This window comes from Homo sapiens, chromosome 7, assembly GCF_000001405.40.
Source record: "Homo sapiens chromosome 7, GRCh38.p14 Primary Assembly".
Taxonomy (NCBI): Eukaryota; Metazoa; Chordata; class Mammalia; order Primates; family Hominidae; genus Homo; species Homo sapiens.
The window spans coordinates 70,868,131-70,892,513 of NC_000007.14; the positions used below are offsets into that span (position 1 = coordinate 70,868,131).

At 45.2% G+C, this 24,383-nt stretch overlaps 5 annotated features.

Moving 5' to 3' along the window:
• Nucleotides 1,189-1,690: an enhancer, noted in NCBI's record as "H3K27ac hESC enhancer chr7:70334305-70334806 (GRCh37/hg19 assembly coordinates)". NCBI's record gives its function as "activates a minimal SCP1, AML or CMV promoter by ChIP-STARR-seq in naive H9 embryonic stem cells {active_cell/tissue: H9 hESC(naive)}" and the evidence as "EXISTENCE:reporter gene assay evidence [ECO:0000049][PMID:30033119]".
• Nucleotides 16,189-16,872: an enhancer, noted in NCBI's record as "OCT4-NANOG-H3K27ac-H3K4me1 hESC enhancer chr7:70349305-70349988 (GRCh37/hg19 assembly coordinates)". NCBI's record gives its function as "activates a minimal SCP1, AML or CMV promoter by ChIP-STARR-seq in naive H9 embryonic stem cells {active_cell/tissue: H9 hESC(naive)}" and the evidence as "EXISTENCE:reporter gene assay evidence [ECO:0000049][PMID:30033119]".
• Nucleotides 16,873-17,556: an enhancer, noted in NCBI's record as "NANOG-H3K27ac-H3K4me1 hESC enhancer chr7:70349989-70350672 (GRCh37/hg19 assembly coordinates)". NCBI's record gives its function as "activates a minimal SCP1, AML or CMV promoter by ChIP-STARR-seq in naive H9 embryonic stem cells {active_cell/tissue: H9 hESC(naive)}" and the evidence as "EXISTENCE:reporter gene assay evidence [ECO:0000049][PMID:30033119]".
• Nucleotides 22,317-22,436: an enhancer, noted in NCBI's record as "active region_26113". NCBI's record gives its function as "activates an Ori minimal core promoter by ATAC-STARR-seq in GM12878 lymphoblastoid cells {active_cell/tissue: GM12878}" and the evidence as "EXISTENCE:reporter gene assay evidence [ECO:0000049][PMID:35858748]".
• Nucleotides 22,547-22,676: an enhancer, noted in NCBI's record as "active region_26114". NCBI's record gives its function as "activates an Ori minimal core promoter by ATAC-STARR-seq in GM12878 lymphoblastoid cells {active_cell/tissue: GM12878}" and the evidence as "EXISTENCE:reporter gene assay evidence [ECO:0000049][PMID:35858748]".

A 24,383-nucleotide genomic window follows, 5' to 3' on the forward strand; every position in this document is an offset into this window, starting at 1 on the left:
TGCCTCCCGAGTTCAAACGATTCTCCTGCCTCAGCCTACCAAGTAGCTGGGATCACAGGTGCGTGCCACCACACCCAGCTAATTTTTGTATTTTTAGTGGAGACAGGGGGTCACCATGTTGGCCAGGCTGGTCTTGAACACCTGACCTCAGGTGATCTGCCTGCCTCGTCCTCCCAAAGTGCTGGGATTACATATGTGAGCCACTGCACTTGGCCAAGACTCTACCTCTGATAGGGATAAGGTTTGAACATACAAATCTGGGGAGATGCAAACATCCAGGCCATGACACCCTGTGGTTCAGGAGATGGAGACCTGGGCAGTGGCCCCAGCAGAGGCACTTGGCTTGACCCTCCCTGGCTTTGCTGTCCTTATTAGGCTGTTACAAAACTGTTTCCAGGGGGCAGGAGAAGGATGGGTTATGTGGGTCCACTTCATGTGCACCTGCTTGGGTGATGTTTTCCTCCCATCTTTTGTCATCAATAACCAGCTGGAGTAGAGCGCTGTGGGCTGCAAGCTGTCACTGGCTGTGGGCTGGAGGCTAACAGAATGCCATTTCCCGGTGAGCAGACCCCTGGTGTTTGGTGCCCCAGGGCAGCCAGAGGCCAGTGCACGAAGGAAAGGGCAAGGGGTCCTAGGAGCCTCACCCCTCCTGGCAAGGGTTCAATGCTGTGGCTTCCCTAGAATATCTGGCCCTGGACACTTGCTCCACCCTTTACCAGCTTTGCACCCCGCTTTGTGCCTCTGTTTCGTTACTTCTTCTGCAAAATGGGAAAAATAATTGTAAAAAATAAAAATATTGTACCATGTAGTATTGTTGTTTGGATTAAATTAGGTAATACACACAAAGCTCTCGAAAAAGTGCTGGACATGGTGCACCTGTGCAATACGTGTTAGCTGTTATTGCTGATATAATTTTTTTTTTTTTTTTTTGAGACAGGATCTCACTCTGTCACCCAGGCTGGAGCGCAGTGATACAATCTCTGCTCACTGCAACCTCTGCTCCCCTTGACCCCAGGTCTCAAGTGATCCTCCCACCTCAGCCTTCTGAGTAGCTGGGACCACAGGCATGCGCCACCATGCTTGGCTAATTGTTTTGTGTTTTTACAATACAAAAATAAAATTTAGCGACAGGTTTTGCCATGTTGACCATGCTGGTCTTGAATTCCTGAGCTCAAGTGATCCGCCCTGCCTCAGCCTCCCAAAGTGCTGGGATTACAGACACGAGCCACTGCACCCGGCCACTGATATAATTCATAATAATAGGCTTCTTAGCCCAGGCATGAAGGGGCTTGAAGATGACCAGCTCAGCATTCCTGCTGGAAAATTCCAAACTCTTGCTGCCCGCCTAGTCTCGGGAGCACCAAGCAATCTCATCTTCCACATGCAGATGGTTTGCTGTTTTCCAAATTTGTCCACAGATTTCTTCCCCTGTGGAGTTCTCAGCCCTATTTGGCGTGGGAATGTAGTTGCCCAGTGGATTTTGCAGGCACCAGGCCCTGCACAGTGGCTGCAGGGAATCTAATGACCTGAACTCTCAGGTGTCCTAGCCTGGCTCAGTGAGCTGTCTGCTCTTGCAGTCCCATATCTGTGGCTTTGACAGGAGAAACTTATATGAAGATTCCTCATCCAGTCTCAAGACTGGACCTAAAGTAGTCCAAGAGATCTCCAAAATACCCCTCCCAGCTCCTTCCCAGGACCCTTGGAGGCTCTCACCTGGTGCATTTCATTTTTTTTCTTTTTTGGAGACAAAGTTTCACTCTTGCCCAGGCTGTGTGGTGGTGTGATCTTGGCTCACTGCAACCTCTGCCTCCCGGCTCCAAGTGATTCCCCTGCCTCAGCCTCCTGAGTAGCTGGGACCACAGACACATGCCACCACACACAGCTAATTTTTTTTTTTTTAATTTTTAGTAGAGATGGGCTCTCGCCATGTTCGCCAGGCTGGTCTTGAACTCCTGGCCCCAAATGATCCACCCACCTCAACCTCCCAAAGTGCTGGGATTACAGGTGTGAGCCACCACACCTGGCCTGTACTACATTTCTTCTCATGGCCATTTCAATTAAAATTGAGCCTTTACAATTTCCCATCTGTTTCGGGTTGATTTTACGAAACACACCTTATTCGTTTCTAGCTTTCTTGCATTGTTGTCAGAGAAAGAAGCCTGCACCATTGTTTTTTTTTTCCCTCTCTCCAACTTTTATTTTAAGTTCTGGGGTTCACGTGCAGGATGTGCAGGTTTGTTACATAGGTAAACATGGGCCATGGTTGTTTGCTGCACAGATCATCTCACCAACTAGGAATTCAGCTCAGCATCCATTAGCTATTCTTCCTGATGCTCTCCCTCCTCCCACCAGCGCCCTCCGACAGGTCCCAGTGTGTGTTGTAACCTCCCTGTGTCCGTGCATTCTCATCATTCAGCTCCCACTTGTAAGTGAGAACATGTGGTGTTTGGTTTTCTGTTCCTGCATTAGTTTGCTGAGGATAACGGCTTCCACCTCCTTGTGTTGAGATGATCACAGGGAAATCATCCTGCCGTCTAGGCCACTCCTCCTCCCCAGATGCTTCCCAGTGGTGCAGTGGCCTCATCAGCCTTCTCTAGCTCCCTCCCCTCCATCCATCCAGGAAGTCACATAGAAATTGAGAAGCAGGGTCAGGCATGGGTGCCGTGGCTCACGCCTGTAATCCCAGCACTTTGGGAGGCCAAGGCGGGCAGACCACTTAAGGTCAGGAGTTCAAGACCAGCCTGTTCAACATAGTGAAACCCCGTCTCTACTAAAAATACAAAACTCAGCCGGGAGTGGTGGCGGGCGCCTGTAATCCCAGCTACTCGGGAGGCTGAGGCAGGAGAACCGCTTGAACTTGGGAGGTGGAGGTTGCAGTGAGCCAAGATTGTGCCACTGCACTGCAGCCTGGGAGACACAGCAAGACTTCGTCTCAAAAAAAAAAAAAAAAAAAAAGAAAAAGACATTGAGAAGCAGGATAGCAGTGAAGGTGGCTGATGGGAAGTCAGGAAGACTGAGCCTTGGCTTGGCTAAGCACTTTCGGATTGGAAAGCTCTAGATGCAAATCCCAGGTCTCACACCACTCACTGTGTGACTCTGGGCACCCCACACCACTTCTCTGAGCCTGTTTTCCCATCTGTACAATGAAGGTAATACTGCATGCCCTAGAGGCTCATGTAGGTATACAATGACAAGGGCTCAGTGTCTGACACATAGCATGTGCCCGGGTACTGCGAGCTGCCAGGTAATAGGATGCTGTTATTAGTTTTTTTTTAAAATGTAAAAAAACACCCCAAAACACTATAACACCTACTGTGCTCAATGAGTTAAACAGAATTATCGTGTGACCCAGCAATCACTCCTCTGGGTATAGACTTTCCCTAAAATTGAAAGTTGGTAATTGGGCTGGGTGCAGTGGCTCACGCTTGTAATCCCAGCACTTTGGGAGGCTGAGGTGGAAGGATTGCTTCAGCCCAGGAGTTCAAGCACAGCCTGGGCAACATAGCGAGACCCCATTTCTGCAAACAATTAAACAATTAGCTAACTGTCATTGTGTCTACCTGTAATCCCTCCTACAGGTACTGGGAGCTCAGGAGGTCAAGGCTGCCAGGAGCTATGATTGTGCCACTGCACTCCAGCCTGGGCAACAGAGTGAGACCCTGTCTCAAAAAAGAAAGAGAGAGAGAGAGAGAGGTGGGGGGGAGGGAGGGAGGGAGAGAGAGAGAGGGGTGGGAGAGAGAGAGAAAGAGAGAGAAAGAAAGAAAGAAGGAAGGAAGGAAGGAAGGAAAGAAAGGAAGGAAGGAAGAAAGAAAGAGAAAAAGAAAAAGAAAAGAGAAAATTCCAGGCCCCGTTCTAGAGCTATGATTGTGTCACTGTCCTTTAACCTCGGCAATAGAGAGTGAGACCCTGTCAAAGAAAGAAGGAAGGAAGGAAGCAAGGGCGGAAAGAAGGAAGGAGGGAATAAAAGAAGGAAGGAAGGAAAGAAAGGAGGGAGGGAGGAAGGGAGGGAGGAAGGGAGGAAGGGAGGGAGGGAGGGAGGAAGGGAGGGAGGAAGGGAGGGAGGGAGGAAGGGAAGGGAGGGAGGGTGGAAGGGAAGGAAGGAAGGGAGGGAGGGAGGAAGGAGGGAGGGAGGAAGGGAGGGAGGGAGGAAGGAAGGAAGGGAGGGAGGAAGGGAGGGAGGGAGGGAGGGAGGGAGGGAAGAAGGAAAAAAAATCCTAGGCCCCATTTCAGAGCTACAGTATCAGTACAACTTTACATTTGACAACTTTACATCTGAAAGGCACTAACCTAGAACAACTTCACTGAAAATCTCCCTAAAATGCAGTTTCTACTAGTGAATGCATTGTGGAATCTCAACTGTCCCCTTCAAGGGTGACCGAGGGCAGCCGATTTTATGCACCTTAACCCCAATATAAACCTCAGAAATGATACAGTCCCAGGTCTCCCAGGTTTGTCTTCCCATAAAAGAACCCTGATTGGGATTGGATGTCTTGGTTTTTTTCTACAATAATAATAATAATGTTTAGATATCTAAATCTCCCTTTTTACAGCTGGAAAATAAAGTTTTGACCCACACCTGCGGAGTGTTTTGAGATGATATAGCAAGAAATGTTGCCCAAAACAATGAAAACTCAACCTCAAATGATTTTATGTGTTTAATTTGTACTACCTCATTTCCCACCAGTGTTCTCACATCTGAAGGCTATTTTCTGGGCTTTGAAAGATGAAAAGTATGGTTAATGAACAGCAAATGTAGTCAAGTGATACCAATGACTTCTAAAATCTCTCAGCTGCCAGGGCAGTCTGGTTTCCAAAGCACTTCCACATATAAAATCCCCGGGAGTCAGAGGCAGCCTCAATTAGCACATTCATTTTCACAGACAAGAGTCTTAGCGTGTTTCAGATTTTGAGAGAGATTATATAGAGGACACAAAGCTGGCAAGTGTCAAAAGTCGTTGGGAGCCCAGAGCTGTCTGACACCAAATTGGATTAAAAAACATGTATCACTTTTGGAGGTCAAGGTGAGAGGATCACTTGAGCCCAGGAATTGAAGGTTACAGGGAGCTATGTCTGCACCATTGTACTCCAGCCTGGGTGACAGAGTGAGACGCTGTCTCAAAAAAAAAAAAAAAAAAAAAAAAAGGGCCAGGCAAGGTGACTCACGCCTGTAATCTCAGCACTTTGGGAGCCTAGGTAGGCAGATCACTGGAGGCCAGAAGTTCGAGACCAGCCTGGGCAACATGGTAAAACCCCATCTCTACTAAAAAAACAAAAATTAGCCAGGTGTGGTGGCGGGCACCTGTAATCCCAGATACTCGGGAGGCTGAGGCATGAGAATCGCTTGTACCTGGAAGTAGAGGCTGCAGTGAGCTGAGATTGTGCCACTGCACTCCAGCCTGGGAGAAGAGAGAGACTCTGTCTCAAACAAAACAAAACAAATCCAAAAAACAAAAAACCAAACAACCAAACCACACCCCAGGTGTTTGAAACAAACAAACAAAAAAAACAAGTAGAAACAACCCAGTCATCCATCAGTGAATGAGTGGATAAACAAAATGTAATACATCCATACAATGGAATAGTATTTATTCTTAAAGGGGAACAAAGTTCTGAGCCATGCTTCAACTCAGAATGAACCTCAGAAACATACTCAGTGGAAGATGCCACACACAAAAGCCACATATATTACAGGATTCCTTTTCTTACTATGAAATGTCCAGAATAGGCAAATCCATGGAGACAGAAAGTGGATTCATGGTTGGCAAGGGTTGGGGGAGAGGGCGTGGCGAGTGTCCACTTATGGGAAGGGGCTTTCCTCTGGGGTTAATGGAAATGTTCTAGAACTAGAGAGTGGTGATTCATAGTGCACGACACTGTGAATATGCTCAATGTCAGTAATGACATATTTTATGAGTATTTTAATATAATTTAAATTTTTATTTTTTATAGAGATGGGGTCTTGCTATATTGTCCTGTCCAGTCTTGTCTGGAACTCCTGGCCTCAAGCAATTCTCCTGCCTCAAACTTCCCAAAGTGCTGGGTTTAAGGTGTAAGGCATCATGCCCAGCCTACCATAATTAAAAAAAGAAAAAGAAATGAGAAACAAAAAGTGTGGGGTCAGAAGGGGTCTCATCCCCCATGCTGATCTGGGCTCTGGCTTTGTTGTAGCCCTGGCCTCCCCTGTATGGGACGAAGGCCTCTCCTCAGCATCTCAGTTACTGGGTGGGGGGATCTGAGTGTGATATTGAGGAAAGACCAGATGAGACACCTCCTAGGCTGAGGGTTCCTGCCACCATCCCAGTGCTCCCAGCACAGAGCCTTTTCTTTGCATTTTCAGGCCCTCCCCTTTGAAATGACAGGAGCTCTGATACATGAGGAAGCTGGAAGCCTGGACTTCACACGAGGCTGCCGAGGGTGGTGGTCAGACGGCTGGAGGTGGTGTCTGGAAGGTGGACTGACTCCTGGATGCAGCTCAAAACTGCATTTTAAATTATTTGTTTATTTATTTATTTAAGACAGGATCTCACTCTGTTACTCAAGCTGGAGTATAGTGGTGTGATTGTAGCTCACCGCAGCCTCGAACTCCTGGCCTCAAGGGATCCTCATGCCCCAGCCTCCCAAAGTGCTGGGATCACAGGTATGAGCCACCACGCCCAGCCAAATTTTATTCTTTATTCAAATTTTGTTCAAATTTTATTCTTAATTCTGATTTATTTTTGTTCATTGTTTTCCTCTTGGTCTTCTGTGTGTAGAAGATCCATTGTTGGGACAATCACAGCCAAAATTACCCCTTGGACTTGTGTCCCTGGTTTGAAGAGAACGTCCTTCATTTGCTAATTCGTTCACCTTGTACCTCTCATGGGGGGCACCTGCCAGGCTCTGGGGCTGCAAGGCAGAGACAAACTACACTTAGCTCCTGCCCTCAGGGCATACAGTCTTGTAAATAAAGTTTTCAGTGGAACTAATAATAATGATGCTATTGCTTGACATCTTCTATGTACCTGGCATTGTGGTAAGCACTTTATGTTCATCAATTTTTTTATGTTAATTAATTTAATCGTTGAACAGCCATCTCAAGTATGTACTATTTTTAATCCCCATTTTACAGATGGGGAAACTGAGGACCAGAGTGTTGCAGTAATGTTCTCGAGTTTATACCACAGGTCGTAAGTGGCAGAGCTGGACTTTGTAGAACTGGAATGCAGGACCTTTTCTTTTTTCTTTTTTCTTTTTTTTTTTTCTATTTTTGAGACGGAGTCTTGCTCTGTCACCTAGGCTGGAGTGCAGTGGCGCAATCTTGGCTTACTGCTGCCTCTGCCTCCCGGGTTAAGTGATTCTCCTGCCTCAGCTTCCTGAGCAGCAGGGATTACAGGCACCCACCACCACACAAGGTAATTTCTGTATTTTTAGTAGAGAAGAGGGTTTTGCCCTATTGGCCAGGCTGGTCTTGAACTCCTGACCTCAGGTGATCTACCTGCCTCGGCCTCCCAAAATGCCGAGATTACAGGAGTGAGCCACCATGCCGGGCCAGAATCCAGGATCTTAATCGCTGCGTTAGACCACCCCACAAAGGGACATTTCTAGCTCTCTGCAGTGAGCACTGGACCTAACAGCGCATCAAGGTATCAGCGCATCAAGACGTAGGTTTCTTCCTATAATACGTGAGGACATTAGCTGACATTCCTACAAGAGCAGGTCCACCATACTCCTGTCTGGTGTTCACCACGTTCCCAAAAGGCTTTCTCTCTCTCTCTGTATTTTTTTTTTTTTTTGACACGGAGTCTCGCTCTGTCGCCCAGGCTGGAGCGCAGTGGCACCATCTCGGCTCACTGTAAGCTCTGCCTCCCGGGTTCACGCCATTCTCCTGCCTCAGCATCCGGAGTAGCTGGGACCACACGCGCCCGCCACCACGCCCGGCTAATTTTTTGTATTTTTAGTAGAGATGGGGTCTCACCATGTTAGCCAGGATGGTCTCGATCTCCTGACATTGTGATCCACCTGCCTCGGCCTCCCAAAGTGCTGGGATTACAGGTGTGAGCCACCGCGCCCGGCCTCTGTCTCTTTTTTAACTACAGAGTTTCTTTTTTTTTTTTTAAACATTTATTTTAAGTTCAGGGGTACAAGTGCAGGTTTGTTATGTTGGTAAACTCCTATCACAGGGGTGTGTTGTACAGATTACTTCATCACCCAGGTATTAAGCCTAGTACCCATTAGTTATTTTTTCTGACACTCTCCTCCCACCCTCCACCCTTTGACAGACCCCAGTGTATGTTGTTCCCCTCTATGTGTCTGCGTGTTCTCATCATTTAGCTCCCACTTATAAGTGAGAATATATGGTATTTGGTTTTCTGTTTCTGTGTTAGTTTGCTAAGGATAATGGCCTCCAGCTCCATCCATGTCCCTGCAAATGACATGATCTCATTCTTTTTTATGGCTGCATAGTATTCCATGGTGTATATGTACCACATTTTCTTCATCCAGTCTACCATTGATGGGCATTTAGGTTGATTCCTTGTGTTTGCTATTGTGAAAGCAAAAACTGACAAATGGGATCTAATTAAACTAAAGAGCTTCTGCACAGGAAAAGAAACTATCAACAAGAGTAAATAGATAACCTACAGAATGGGAGAAAATTTTTGCAAACTATGCATCTGACAAAGGTCTAACGTCCAGGAACTTAAACAAATTTATAAGCAAAACACAAAGGACTCCATAAAAAAGCTGGCAAAGGACATGAACAGAAACTTTTCCAAAGGATACTTACATGGAGCCAACAATCATATGAAAATAAGCTCAACATCAATGAGCATTAGAGAAATGCAAATTAAAACCACCACGGATACGATCTCACACCAGTCAGAATGGCTGTTATTAAAACGTCAAAAAATAACAAATACTGGCAAGGTTGTGAAGTAGAAGGGACATTTATACTCCATTGGTGAAAGTATGAATTAGTTCGACGATTGTGGAAGACAGTGTGGAGATTCCTCAAAGACCTAAAGACAGAAATACTATTTGATCCAGCAGTCCCATTATTGGGTATATACCCAAATGAATATAAATCATTCTATTATAAAGACACATGCACATGTATGGGGGTTTTCTTTTTTTTCTATTTTCATTATTTATTTGTGCCAACTTTTTTTTTTGTTCCTATTTTTATAATTATCTCCAGGGGGGTGAAGACTTGTAGAAGAGTTTCTGAGAAGAAACCACATGACTACTTCATACTGACACACCTTCCAGCGACTTCAGCTTTGTCTTCATGTAATCTTGTCATCTTGGAAGATGAGTATTGATTGGATATATCTGGCAAAGAATTCTGAAAACGTTTCTGGGCAGGGTGTCTTGGCTGATTACAAAATCATCTCATCCCAAATCCCTTCATGCTTCTAGCCTTGGGGAGACCACTGTACCTTCTGCATTAGAAGCTGGACATGTTGGGGTCCATATTTGGAATTTGGATCCCGTGATAATAATAGTGACTGTTACGCACTCTTGGGAATTCAGTAATGATGCCTTTTTTTTTTCCTTTTTTTTCTTAAAGACAGGTTCTTGCCCTATTGCCCAGGCTGGAGTGCAGTGGCACAATCACAGTTCACCGCAGCCTCCAACTCCTGGGCTCAAGTGATCCTCTTACCTCAGCCTCCCGAGTACCTAGGACTACAGGTGGGTGCCACCATGCCCAGCCAATTTGTTTTTAGTTTTTGTAGAGACGGGGTCTCGCTATGTTGCTCAGGCTGGTCTCAAACTCTTGGCTTCAAACAATCTTTTTGCTTTAGCCTCCCAAGGTGACCCACTTTTTTTTTTTTAAATCTAATTTGGTGTCAGACAGCTCTTGGCTCCCAACTAGTTTTGACACTTGCCAGCTTTGTGTCCTTTATATAATCTCTCTAAAAATCTGAAACACTCTAAAACTCTTGTCTGTGAAAATGCATGTGCTAATTGAGGCTACCTCTGACTCTTAGGGATTTTATAAATGCAACTGCTTTGGAAACCAGACTGCTGGAGGCTGAGAGATTTTAGAAGTCGTTGCTGGTATCACACGACTGTGTCTGCTATTCATTAACCATATTTTTCACCTTTCAAAGCCCAGAAACTAGCCTTGAGATGTGAGAACACTGGTAGGAAATGAGAAAATACAAACTAAAAACATAAAATCATTTTGGGTTGAATTTTCATTGTTTGGGGCAATATTTCTTGCTGTGTCATCTTAAAATACTCCACAAGTATGGGTCAAATTGGTTTTTTTTCTTCAGTTCTAAAAAGGGAGATTTAGATGATATCTAAATTTATTATTTTTGTAAAATAAAAAAGCCACCCAACCCCAGCGTTCTTTTGTGAGAAGACAGAATTAGGACATATAAAACTATATATTTCTGAGGTTTATATTGGAGGTAAGATGCACAAAATTTGCTGCCCCGGGTCATCCATGAAGGGGACAGATGATATTCCATGACGGATTCACTAGTAGAAACTGCATTTTGGGGAGCTTTTTCAGTGAAGCTGCTCTAGGTTAGTGCCTTTCAGACGTAATGTTGTCAAATATAAAGTTGTGCATGAATCACCTGGAGATCTTACTGAAAGGCAGATTCTGATCCTGTATTGAGACAGCATCTCTCTCTTTCACCAAGGCTGGAGTGCAGTGGTGCAATCATGGCTCACTACAACCTCGAGCTCCTGGTCTCAAGCTATCCTCCAGCCTCTGCCCCGCTGAATAACTGGGACTGCGGTCATGCACCACCAAACCTGGCTAATTTTTAAATTTTTTGTAGAGACAAGGTCTTGCTATGTTGCCCAGGCTGGTCTTGAACTCCTGGCCTCAATCGATGCTCGCACCGAAATCTCCCAAAGAGCTGGGACTACAGGTGTGAGCCACCACACTGGATTCTGCATTTCTAATAAACTCCCCAGTGATGCTGAGGCTGCAGGTTCTCAGCCCAGATTTTGAGTAGCAAGATGATAGAATTGCTTGTACTGAACAATTACAGGTGGTGTTCCATATTGTGAAAATTGTGTTGAGCACATGCTGAGGTTGGGATTGGCCAAAATGTTAAAGAAAGCAGTTACTCCTATTGAATTGTCTTTAAGAGATACCTTCAGGGAAGACCCAAAGTAAAGTAGAAAATCCTGTTGGAAACAAGGTGGGCTTGTCAACTGATGTCTGTCTGTCCAAGTGTGCATGGCTGAAAAAATCTAATCCTGCTGTATTAGTCCATTTTCATGCTGCTGATAAAGACATACCCGAGACTGGGAAGAAAAAGAAGTTTAATGGACTCACAGTTCCACATGGCTGGGGAGGCTTCACAATCATGGCAGAAGACAAGGAGAAAGTCATGTCTTACATGGATGGCGGCCGGCAAAGAGAGAGAGAGCTTGTGCAGGGGAACTCCTCTTCATAAAACCGTCAGCTCTCATGAGACTTATTCACTATCAAGAGAACAGCACAGGAAAGACCTGTCTTCCATGATTCAATTACCTCCCACTAGGTCCCTCCCACAACACATGAGAATTGTGGGAGCTACAATTGAAGATGAGATTTGGGTGGGAACACAGCCAAACCATGTCACCTGCCTAGGAATTGGGCATACAGGTAGGGATCCCAGTGTCGGAGGCATTTAACAAGAGGAACTCCATCTTGAATAGGGGCTGTGTAAAATAAGGCTGAGACCTACTGGGCTGCATTCCCAGGAGGTGAAGGCATTTAAGGCATTCTTAGTCAAAGGATGAGATAGGAGGCCAGCACAAAATACAGGTAGTAAAGACCTTGCTGATAAAACAAGATGTGGTAAAGAAGCCAGCCAAAACCCAGCAAAACCAAGATGGTGATGAGAGTGACCTCTGATGGTCCTCACTGCTCATTATATGCTAATTATAATAAATTAGCATGCTAAAGACACTCCCCTCAGCACCATGACAGTTTACAGGTGCCATGGCCACATTAGGAAGTTACCCTATATGGTCTAAAAAGGGGAAGAACCCTCAGTTCTGGGAATTGCTCACCCTTTCCTGGAAAACTCATGAATAATCCACCTCCTTGTTTAGCATATAATCAAGAAATAACCATAAAAATTGGCCACCAGGGGCCCATGCCACTGCTCTGCCTATGGCATAGCCATTTTTTATTTATTTGCTAATAAACTTGCTTTTACTTTATGGATTTGCCTCAAATTCTTTCTTGTGCAAGATCCAAGAATCCTCTCTTGGGGTCTGGATTGGGACCCCTTTCCAGAAACACCAACAATACATGGGGTGGCTGGCCTCGTTAGGAAGGGCATGTCCCCAACATCACACTCAGATCCCCCTCCCGCACCCAACAACTGTCTCCCCGATGTGACTTTGTGTTGTTCTCTCACCCCCACCTCCAGCCCACCCCATCCCTGAACCAAGACTGTCCTTTCATGCTTTGCCTTCAACATCCAATTACAGAATCATTGATCCTGCACTGGCTGTCCTCTATCTCAAGCCATCCATCACTTAGGCATTTGTCAGGGACAGAAGATGGGCCTGGCTGGATGCTGGACCCGCCGATGTTATTGGAAAACTATGCTTGCTGATTTAAAACAAAATTCTGTTTGTGCTTTTTAATTGCATCTAGCCCAAATGTTGCTGAGATGGATTCCCTGGTCTCTTTTAACAAATAAGTAAGCATTAATTGATTAATTCATTCTACAAGTATTTGTGGAGTCTCTGCTAGGTGCTAGGGACTTTACCAGGTGCTGGAAACAGAGCAGGGAATGCAGTGCCTATACCTCTGAAGACTGTCATGTAATGTGACAAGCAGATGATAAACAAACATTTGCACAAAGAAGTATGTAATTGTAATGATGCTAAGTGCTATGAAGGAAGAGGACAGAAGGTCTGACAGAGGGGCAGAGCAAGGCCTGATGAGGGAGACCACAGGATAAAGCAACATTAAGCTTGGCTTATGGGGTGCGGCGGAGGGTGTCAACCTTAAATAACAAGGTTCAGGCTGGGCACAGTGGCTTATGCCTGTAATCCCAGCACTTTGGGAGGCCAAGGCAGGAGGATTGCTTGGGCACAGGAGCTTGAGACCAGCCTGGGCAACATGGTGAGACCCTGTCTCTACAAAAAATAATAATAATAAAAAAATAGCAGGGCATGATGGCATGCATCTGTGGTCCCAGCTACTTGGGAGGATGATGTGGCAGGATCGCTGGAACCCAGGAGACTGAGGCTGCAGTGAGCTATGATTGCACCACTGCACTCCAGCCTGAGTGACAAAGCAAGACCCTGTCTCATTGGAAAAAAAAAAAAAGTTGAAAAAAATATGATTAAGTGTCAAGCTTGAGGATGGCCACCCCAGAAACTGTGACTCCAAACGAATGGAGTTAGCATTTCCAAAGTAGAGAGGTGGTGGTTTCAATGATATAGGCAGAGACTGGGATGTTTCAGCAGGATTACAACATTTTCCACAGAAGACCAGGCACATACACCATAGCGATTTGATCAGTTAAAGGTGGCTAAATGCCAAGGAAGATTACTACTGGGAGGCAGGGCAGTGATCTGAACGGGGGAGGTCCCATCTCTGGCGGCTCTTCGTCTTCTTAATGGTTTACAGGAAAAAAGGAGGCAGGACTTGCAGCTGCATGCCACGTGACTCAGGCTGCAGAGCCACACTCCTTTCAAGGCTCAGGATAATTTAAAGTTGTAACAGCTTTAAGTTTGAATTATTATTATTTTGAGACAGGATCTCACTCTGTCGCCCAGGCTGGAGTGCAGTTGTGCCATCATGGCTCACTGCAGCCTTGACCTCCTGGGCTCAAGCGATCTTCCCACCTCAGCCTCCCACCTAAGCCTCCTGTGTAGCTGAGACCACAGATGGTACATGCCACCACACCTGGCTAATTTAAAAAAATTTTTTTTTTTTTTTGTAGAGATGGGATCTCACTATGTTGCCCAGGCAGGTCTGGAACTGCTGGGCTCAAGTGATGCTCTCACATCAGCTTCCCAGAGCACTGGGATCACAGGCATGAGTCACTATGCCCAGCCCCAAGTTTGAATTATTTAATTTTACAGGGGTTAGTTAGGGAGTTCGAGCCCTACCTTTATTCCTTCAGCCACTGTTGTACACTGTGTCCCTCCAAAATTCATCTGCTGAAGTCCTAACTTCAGTGGGTCTACTTGTGGAATAGGGCTTTTAAAGACAAAATTAAGGTTGAATGGGGTCATAAGGGTGGGTCTTAATCCAATAGAACTAGTATCTTTATAAGAAGAAAAAAACTTGAGAACAGACATTCCTGTGCACAAAGGAAAGGCCATGTGAGGACAGAGCAAGAAGGCGGCTGTCTGCAAGCCAAGGAGAGAGGCCTTAGCAGGAACCAACCCTGCCAACACCTTGATCTTGGACTTCCAGACTCCAGAACTGGGAGAATATAAATTTCTGTTGTTTAAGCCATCCGGTCTGTGCTATTATCTTACGGCAACTAGAACAGACTAATACAGTTCTTCAGAGCCAACAGGACTCTCAGCTTGAGGGGCACCAAGAACACATGTTTGGGACAGACGTGCTCTTGCACAATGGCAATGGCTCCACTAAATATCAGTAGAGGTCACTTATCCCACCAGTTTAGAGGCCACAGTTCTCAACACTGCACTAAATCACTGTACGAACTTATTTTTAAAATTTTTTAATATTTATTTATTTATTTTGAGACAGGGTCTCACTCTGTTCCCCAGGCTGGAGTACAATGGTGAGATTGTGGCTCATTGCAACCTCTGCCTCCCAAGTTCAAATGATTCTCCTGCCTTGGCCTCCAGAGTAGCAGAGATTACAGGCAGCCACCACTATGCCTGGCTAATTGTATGAACTTAGAAAAGTAACTTAAACTTCTTAGAAACCAAGAACTAAAGAAGTTGCAGGCTGAGTGTGGTGGCTCATGCCTGTAATTTCAGCACTTCAAGAGGCCGAGGTGGGTGGGCCACTTGAGGTCTGGAGTTCGAGAGCAGCCTGGCCAACATGGTGAAACCCTGTCTTGACCAAAAATACAAAAAGTAGCTAGGTGTGGTGATGTATGCCTGTAATCCCAGCTATTCGGGAGGCTGAGGCAAAATAATCGCTTGAACCTGGGAGGTGGAGGTTGCAGATAGCCATGATTACATAATCACTGCACTCCAGCCTGGGTGACAAAGTGAGACTATATCTAAAAAAAAAAAAAAAAAAAGGAAGTTGCAAGGATAGGGTCAGAGGTACGGTTGAAAAAAAAATAACAGAGGTCATCTGCACCCTGAAACAGTGGTTCTCATTCTTCCAAGCCCTGTCACCTGGAAGACTTGTTAAACGCACATCACTGGGCCCTACCTCCAGAGTTTCTGATTGAGTAGATCTGAGTTGGGGCCTGAAAATGAGCATTTCTTTTTTTTCAAAAAGAACGTATTTTTTATAGATTCAGGGAGTACATGTGTAGGCTTGTTCACATGCACATATTGCATGGGGGTGGTGTTTGGGCTTCTGGTGAACCCATCATCCGAATAGTGCACACTGTCCTCAGTAAGTAATTTTTCTTCCCTCTCCTCCCTCCCAGTCTCCTCCCCTTTGGAGTCTCCAACATGTGTTATTCCCCCCCTGTATGTCCATGTGTATTCATTATTTAGCTCCCACTTATAAGTGAGAACATACAGTATTTGCTTTTCTGTTTCTGAGTTATTTCACTTAGAATAATGCCCTTCAGCTCCATCCATGTAGCTGCAAATGACAGGATTTCATTCTTTTTTATGGCTGCATAGTATTCCATGGCATATGTGTACCACATTTTCTTTGCAGAACCCACCACCGATGGACATTTAGGTTGATTCCAGGACTTTGCTATTGTGAATAGCACGGTGATAAACATGAGTGCAAGTGTCTTTTTGTGAAAACAGGCATTTCTAACAAGTTTCCAGGTGATGCTGAGGTCACAGGTCCTGGGGCCACACTTTCAGAACCACCATGTGGCCTTGGGTCCATAGTCATTTGAAACTTCCATTAAGATGGCCCCAGGCCCAGAATGGGGGAGGGAAAAATGGAGAGCTTATGCTGCAGAGCAACATGACAGAGACAGCCCTGAGCCATGGAGAATGGAATGACTCAGTTATCCTGGCAAATTCAGATAAGGCTGCACAGGGAGGGCATATACTTGACCTCCTGCAACTGTCCAAGGTTCATTGCCTGATGCACAGCAAGTCAATATACTGAGACACTGAATTGCAGCAGAGAAAGACGTTTGATCGTAAGGCAGACAAACGAGGAAACAGGAGCAAGCCTCAAATCTGTATCCTTGAGGAGTTCTAGCTAGGGATTTCAAAGGGCTTGATGAAGTAATGGGCTGAGGTGTGGGGATTGTTGATAGGTTGGGGAGTGTATGGTGGAGGAGTACATGGACAGGGAGATGAAGAAGCTGTATTCTCATGCAGATTCTGTTCCTCTGTGGGGGTTTTTGAACTGGCTGGCATCAGCCATGCTGCTGGAATTCAGGATCTGAAAAACATCTTAAGCAATCCTTAAAGAAAAGCATTCTGATTATAACATCAGAGATCAATGGAACAATGGGGATGTAAATGGTCAGTATCCAGTACTAGGTGATTTTTGGTTAGCAAGCAGCTACAAAAAAAGTGGGCCAAAGGACAACCTAATTAATGCTTAATTATTATTATATTTCTTTCCAGAACTTGGCATGACTTTCTTGTTAACCCCGAGAAGATGATTTTACTCTCTTTTCTGGGGAGGATGGGGTGAGAGGGCAGTCATCTCAGGACTGTTTACAAGACTGGGGGAACCTGAATCTCCCCCATCCTACTCCATTGTGGGGTCTTCTCAGAAGACTATTTGCTGCTGGGGCAGAGAGGAAGGAGCTGGAGAGAGGGAAGGCAGAGCTGAGGAAGAGAGGTGACCAGGTGGGTGCTACCTGCATTCCCCTCTTGGGCTTGGCCCGGAGTTTATGTTGTGTAGAAAGGACATTGCAGAAGGTTTTATTGTGTTGTCAGAGGCATTTGAATCAGCAACTCCATCTTGAATAGGGGCCGGGTGAAATAAGGCTAAGACTTGCTGGGCTGTATTCCCAGTAAATAAAGGTATTCTAAGATACAAGGTGAGATAGGAGGTTGGCACAAGATACAGATCATAAAGACCTTGCTGCTAAAACAGGCTACAGTAAAGAAGCCGGCTAAAACCCACCAAAACCAAGATGGCAACGAGAGTGACCTCTGGTTGTCCTCACTGCTACACTCCCACCAGCGCCATGACAGTTTACAAATGCCATGGCAACGTCAGGAAGGTACCCCATATGGCCTCAAAAGGGGAGGCATGAATAACAGCATATAATCTTGTTTATGTTTAGCATATAATCAAGAAATAAAAATGGGCATCTGCCTTTGGAATAACTATTCTTTATTCCTTTACTTTCTTAATAAACTTGCTTTCACTCTGCTCTGTGGACTTTCCCTGAATTCTTTCTTGTGCAATATCTAAGAACCATCTCTTGGGGTCTGGATTGGGACCCCTTTCTGGTAACAGTGTGAACCTCAAATGTCTGAGCCAGGTCTCAGTCAATTTAGGAAGTTTATTTTGCCAAAGTGAAGGACATGTGTCCATGACACAACCTCAGGAGGTCCTGATGACATGTGCCCAAGGTGGTCAGGGCACAGCTTGTTTTTACATGTTTTAGAGAGACATGAGCCCTCAATCAATATATATAAGATATACATTGGTTCTATGTGGAAAGGTGGGATAAATCGAAGCTAGGAGGGGGCTTCCAGGTCATAGGGTAGGTTAGAGACAAACGTTTGCATTCTTTTGAGTCTCTGATTAGCCTTTCCAAAGGAGGCAAGCAGATATGCATTTACCTCAGTGAGCAGAGGAATGATTTTGAGTTCTGTCTATCCTTTTTCCACAAGGAAATTCCTTGTGAGGGAGGTATGTAGCTTTAAAAAAAAATTTTAGTAGCTACCTTTATTAGGACTAGAATGGGAAGCAGGTTTGCCCTAAGCAGTTCCTAGCCTTGACTTTTCTTTTCGGCTTAGTGATTTTGGGGTCCCAAGATTTATTTTCCTTTCACCATTGGTAACTAGTCTCCCCCATATACTACTACCACTGGCTCAGTCTGTCTCTGCTGCTTAACAAAATATCTGAGACTGGGTAATTTACAAGGACTAGAAAATTGATTTCTCAGTGATGGTGGAAAAATTTAAATTTTGCCAGAATATGTTTAAGGTGATTTATTCTGAGCCAATGCGAGTGACTGCAGCCTGGGTTACACAACCTCAAGAGGTCCTGAGAAAGTGTGTCTGAGGCTGTTGACACTGAAGATTACAGTTTGGTTTTATAAACTTTAGGCAGACAGCAATTGCAGGTAAAAATCATAAATCTATTGAAGAAAGTATACACTCGTTTAGCCTGAAAAAGCAGGACATCTTGAAGGTGGGTCTTACAAGTCAAAGGTGTGTTTTAGAAATTCTTTTTTTTTAACTTTTCATTTATTTATTATTTATATGTTTTTCATGTAGTTAATAGAGACAGGGTCTCACTATGTTGCCCAGGCTAGTCTCAAACTCCTGGGCTCAAACAATCCCCTGGCCTCAGCCTCCCAAAGTGCTAGGATTGCAGCCAGGAGGCACTGGGGCCTGCCAGGAAATCTTTAGTTGACAATTGGTTGAGAGAGTTAAGCTATTGTCTGAAGTCTTGAAATCAGTAGAAAGGAATGCGTGAGTTAAGATAAGGGGGTTGTGAAGATCAAGGTTCTTATTTTGCAGATGAAGCCTCATAGATAGCAGCCTTCAGATAAATCTCAGGGATGGTAAATGTCAGTTTTCAGACATTAAAGGTTTCAGGCTCTCAGGTAATCTCTCCTAGATCTGGGAGCATCTTGGGAGGGGAGAGACCCAGCTATATTAATGGAGATTCTCTAAAGATGCAAATTTCTCTCACAAAAGATGGCTTTCCACGGCTGTTTCAATCTGTTGGCTCTGTGGAAGCCATTTCAAAATATGTCAAAGAAATATATTTTGGGGTAAAATCTTTAGATTTTTCTTAAAGGTCTGCTGTCATGTTGTGTTTTACTAGAGTCAGGTTGGAAAGTAAGCCACTCACATAGGGTTAATGGAAACCTGTCTGATGAGATTTTATGGTGTGCCAGGCATGATTCCCCAGTCCCCTTACATAGGAATCTGGGCAAGAGAGAAAAGATCAACATTTAGTCCTCATCACAGTTTGGAGGCTGCAGTCCAAGATCAAGATCAAGGTGCTGGCAGGACTGGTGTCTGAGGAGGACCTATTGTCTGTTTTCAAGACAGCACCTTGTGCTGCATCCTCTGGAAACAAATGCTGTGTCCTCACATGGGGAGGGATGCAAGGGCAAAAAGGAATGAACGGCTCCCTTCTACCTCTCTTATAAGATAGTAAATCCCATTTGTGAAGGTGGAGCCCTCATGCTGAATCATCTCCTAAAGGCCCCACCTCTTAATACTATCACACTGGGCTTAGGTTCCAAAGTATGAATTTTGGGGGGACACATACATTCAAACCACAACAACTACCAAAGTGCCAGCTGTGGGGAGAGGTGAACACAGGGATGAGAAGCTGGAGGTGACTCTGGGGTGACAGACAGAGGCTGAGAGAGAGAATAGAGAGAGAGGGGAGAGAAAGAGAGGAGGAGGAGGAGGAGGAGAGAAGTGGGGGAAGGGAGGAAAGGAGAGAGAAAGAGGGAGGAGAAAGAAAGGGGGATGGAAGGAGAGAAGGAGGGAGAGAAGAAGGGAGTGAGGAAAAGAGAGGGAGGGAAGGAGAAAGAGAAGAAGGTAGAGGGAAGGAGGGGGTGGGGAAGAGAGAGAGAAGGAGGGTGGAGGGAGGAAGAGAGGGAATGAGAGGGAGGGTGGAGGGACAGATTGGGAAAGGAAAAGGGAGGGATAGAGAGATGGGGAAAGGAGAGAGAAGGAGGAGGAAAGAGAAAAAGAGAGAGGAAGGGGAGGGAGAGAGAGAAAGAGAGAGGAAGGGGAAGGAAGGGAAAGAGAGAAGGAGGGAGAGAGAAGGGGGTGAGGGAGACAGGGAGAAGAAGGGAGGGAGAGACAGGAAAAGGGAGAATGAGAGGGGGTGAGGGAAGGAGAGAAGGAGAGAAAGAGAGGGAGGAGGAAAAGAGAGAGAGAGGAAAAGGAGGGAAAGAGAGGGAGAAAGAGGGAGGAGGAAAAGAGAGAGAGGGAGAGGAAAAGGAGGGAAAGAGAGGGAGAAAGAGGGAGGAGGAAAAGAGAGAGAGGGAGAGGAAAAGGAGGGGAAGAGAGGGAGAAAGAAAGAGAGAAGGAGGAGGATAGAGATAGAGAGAGGAAGGGGGAGGGGGAAGAGATGAAGAGTGGGGAGAAGGGAGAAAGGGAGGGAGGAGAGAGGGAGGGAGAGAGAGAAAAAGGATCCTCAGCAAGGTGGGGACACAGAGGCTCCTTGGGCACAGTTCTCTGCATAGCCAGTGTCTTAATCCCTTTTGTGCTGCTATAACAATACCACAAGCTAGGTAATTTATAAAAAAATGAAAGTTTATTTGGATCATGGTTCTGGAGGTTGGGAAGTCCAAGACTGAGGGGCTGCACCTGGTGAGGGATTTCTTGCTACATCATAACATGGAGGAAAGCATCCACAGTGAAAGAGAATGCACGTGCAAGATGGAAGGCTACACTGGCTTTTATAACAAATCCCCTCTTGTGATAACAAGCCCACTCCCATGATAACAACATTAACCCATTTATGAAGGCTCTGCCTCTTAACAGTCTCACCTCTTGATACTGTTGTGTTGGGGATTAAGTTCCTAACATACGAACTTTGGAGGACAGGTTCAAACCATAGCAGCCAGAGAGCCAGTAAGGGGAGTGGTGACATTCAAATTAGAGGACAGGGTGTCTGTCCTCCTTCCCATGCCTCCCCTGACAGCAGGCAGCAAGAGCAATGGAGCAGAGAGAATGGTGGGGGACAAGACACATAGTTGCTAGATCCGGAGCTGGAGATGGGAAGCACAGTTCAGGCTTTTGCATAGAATATGAAATTGCAATCCTAAAATGAACAAGACCAAGTCTTATAAACTGAAATGAAGCTCTTTCAGTAACCCAAATAACTTATAGGATCAAGCTGTCACTAAGGGACTGTGGCATATAAAGGGAGTCACCTGAGCACAGTTATTAGGAAATGAAACCTACCTAACCTGCCCCCATCCAACCTCAATTCCCCTAACTATAAAAGAGTGGAGACTTCTTACTGCACTTCCCCCACTCACATTGACCACATTACCTGGGGTCTTGTTTCTGTTGAACCACCCAAGGTGGGGACTCAGCTCCTCTGAAGCAGATGCACGTGCAGGTTGAAAGATTCCCTAGTCCTGCTCACTGCATTGTTAATCCTTTAATATTCTTCCGTCACTGGACAATCCTGGGCTGTCCTGACCATGGAATTCCACTCTTCTAGAATCCGGTCCACTTTTTAAAATCCCTTAACATTAAAATCAGTTATGCAGTCTACCTACTATTAAATGCAAGAACTTGTGTTTTCCTGAGAAAATGAAATTTGCAGTATCCATGGGAACGATTATCATCAAATACTTAAATGGCTTTACAAAAAGAAAATGTCACCAAACATGTACATAGAAGCAAGCACAGTATTAAATTAGCTAACAAGTGGGCTTTGGCTTCAAGTAGATCCAACAAGACATTCACTCAGCAGTAACACTATCTAGATGGCTTTACTAATCAGAAGTTTTATTTCAGTCCTCAACTGTTTTCTGGGCAAGGCCGAAATGATATAAAAGCACATTCACATGAAAGTTTATTCCATAAAGCAATTATTAGGAGCTATCTTGGTGTGCAACCAAATTTATTTCTTGTTTTACACTTGTAAATAAAATTACTGGGGGACAATTATTATGGTGTGGAAAGAACAGTCTCCTTGGGTGGAGACCTGAGCTCTGGTCTTCATTCTGAATTGAGACATGATTGTGGCCAATGTCTACCTAACCCACCCCCATCCAACTTCAATTCCCCTAACTATAAAATAAGGGGAATGGAGCAGGTGGTCTTTAAGGCATCTTTTCATACAACATTCTATAATTTTAAGATGCCAGGTACAAGGTTAAAAATGATAAATAACCTCTTGGAGAATTGGCTTATTCTAGGACCACGCATGAAACATAAAAGTTGAGTCTGGGGCATCTTATAGTATCAGAAAGTAAGTGATAGTGACAGGAGGCAGCCAAATGCCTAGGCAAACAGGGGTGGGTCCCCAGTGAAACCCCAAATTCAAGCCAAAAACAGCCTGAAGGCTGAAATACTGGGCTGCTAGTCCTGGATGAAATCCAAAACCCAGAGTGAAAACTTCTTTTCCTGTTTGCCTGCATCTCCCCTATTCTGAGCCCATAAAAAGCCCTAGGGCTCAGCCACATGGAAGGGACTTTCCTGTCTTTGGGTAGGGGAACCACCACTGTGTCCCCTCTCTGCTGAAAGCTGTTTTCATCACTCAATAAAACTCACTGCCTTGTTCACTCTTCAATTGTCAGCACATCCTCATTTTTCTTGGGCATGGGACAAGCACTCGGGGAGTGGTACACAAACCAGACTAAGCCAGGATGGGCCAAGTAGGGTGGCCATCTCCTGCAGCAGATAGCATGGCCGAGTGAGGCCCAAGCCAGGTGTCACCGGCTGGAAGTCCCCAGCTTGCAAAATTACTGAGAAGAAAATCCTGCATCATAAGGAAGTACTAAAACCAAACAAACACAAAATCCATAATAATGGGGTTTGTCAAAGGAACACAAGAGCTGCTGAAAGAACTCCCAATCAATATCTCAGAACTTAGAAATGTACCTTACCTATTCAATTTCCCCTTCCCTCCAGCTCCTGACAGCCATCATAATTTGGAGATGATTTTGCCCAGTTTTAAAGACACGCACAAAATCATTCATTTTTATGCCTGATAAATCTCTATTTTCCCTGAGGACACGAATGCTACTTGCTCTCATTCCAACCCCCTAAAGCTGAAACAGTGCTTCACTCAGCCAACGTTAAGGGCTTGATGCATTCTGGTTCCAGTCTGGGGAGGTGGGAGGATGGAGAGAAGAATAAAACTCTGAGAAAGGAAGAAAAAAGCTGCAGAGATTGAGATAATGGGCTGGAGTTAGAGATGACCACTGCTACAATTGAGGCATTTATTGGAGGTTGGTTTAGTAGTCAATGTTTTGGTCAGCACCTCCACAATTTTTTTTTTTATTTTTTAAGAGAAAGGGTCTCACTCTGTAACAATCATAGCTCCCTGCAGCTTTGAACTTCTGGATTCAAGTGATCCTCCCACTTTGAAACTGCCATTGCAAAATTATGACTGAGATAATGAAAGAGATGTAACCTAACTGACTCCATTTTGCTTCTAACCTCCAAGCTGTCCTTGTTCATTCTTGAGCGTAAGCTGAACTACCTTTGGGAGGAACTTATAGTTTATAGTTTAAAACAAAGATGATAACAGCCCTTTCCCAAAACAAACCTCCTTCTTGCCTGGGGACTAGACTGCCCTTATAGGACTAAGAAATTAGCCACAAGATTAGAAATTATGGTTTGGGTCTGGGCATGGTGGCTTATGCCTATAATCCCAGCACTGTGGGAGGCCAAGGAAGGTGGATCACTTGAGGTCAGGAGATAGAGACCAGCCTGGCCAACGTGGTGAAACCTTGTCTCTACTAAAAATACACAAATTAACCAGGTGTGGTGGTGTGTGCCTGTAATCTCAGCTACTCAGGCGGCTGAGGCAGGATAATCGCTTTAACCCAGGAGGCGGAGGTTGCAGTGAGCCAAGATCGCACCACTGCACTCCAGCCTGGGTGACACAGAGACTCGGTTTCAAAAAAAATCAAAAAGAAAAAGAAAAGAAATTATGGTTTGGGAGTCATGCAGCTGGAGGCTATGACATTCTGACCCTCCCTGAACTTCTCCTAAGATCGGCACTTGAGATATTGTGCAGACCATGGACTTGATGGATCAGCTGGTACCACCCAGATCAAGAAACTGGTTCATCTGATCTTGTAGCCCCCACCTGGGAACTGACTCAACACTAGAAGACAACTTTGACTCCCTAAGGTTTTATCTCTGACTCAACCAATCAGCACTCCTGGCTCACTGGCTTCCCTCAACCCACATGAGTTGTCCTTAAAAACTCTGATCCTTGAATGCTCATGGAGACTGATTTGAGTAATAATAAATCTCCGGTCTCCGGCACAGCTGTCTACGTATGAATTACTCTTTCTCTATGTTCCCTATCTTGATAAATCAGCTCTGTCTAGGCAGTGGGGCAAGGTGAACCCATTGGGTGGTTACAACCTCAGCCTCCTGAGTAGCTGGGACTCACAGGCATGTACCACCACACTTGGCTAATTTTATTATTT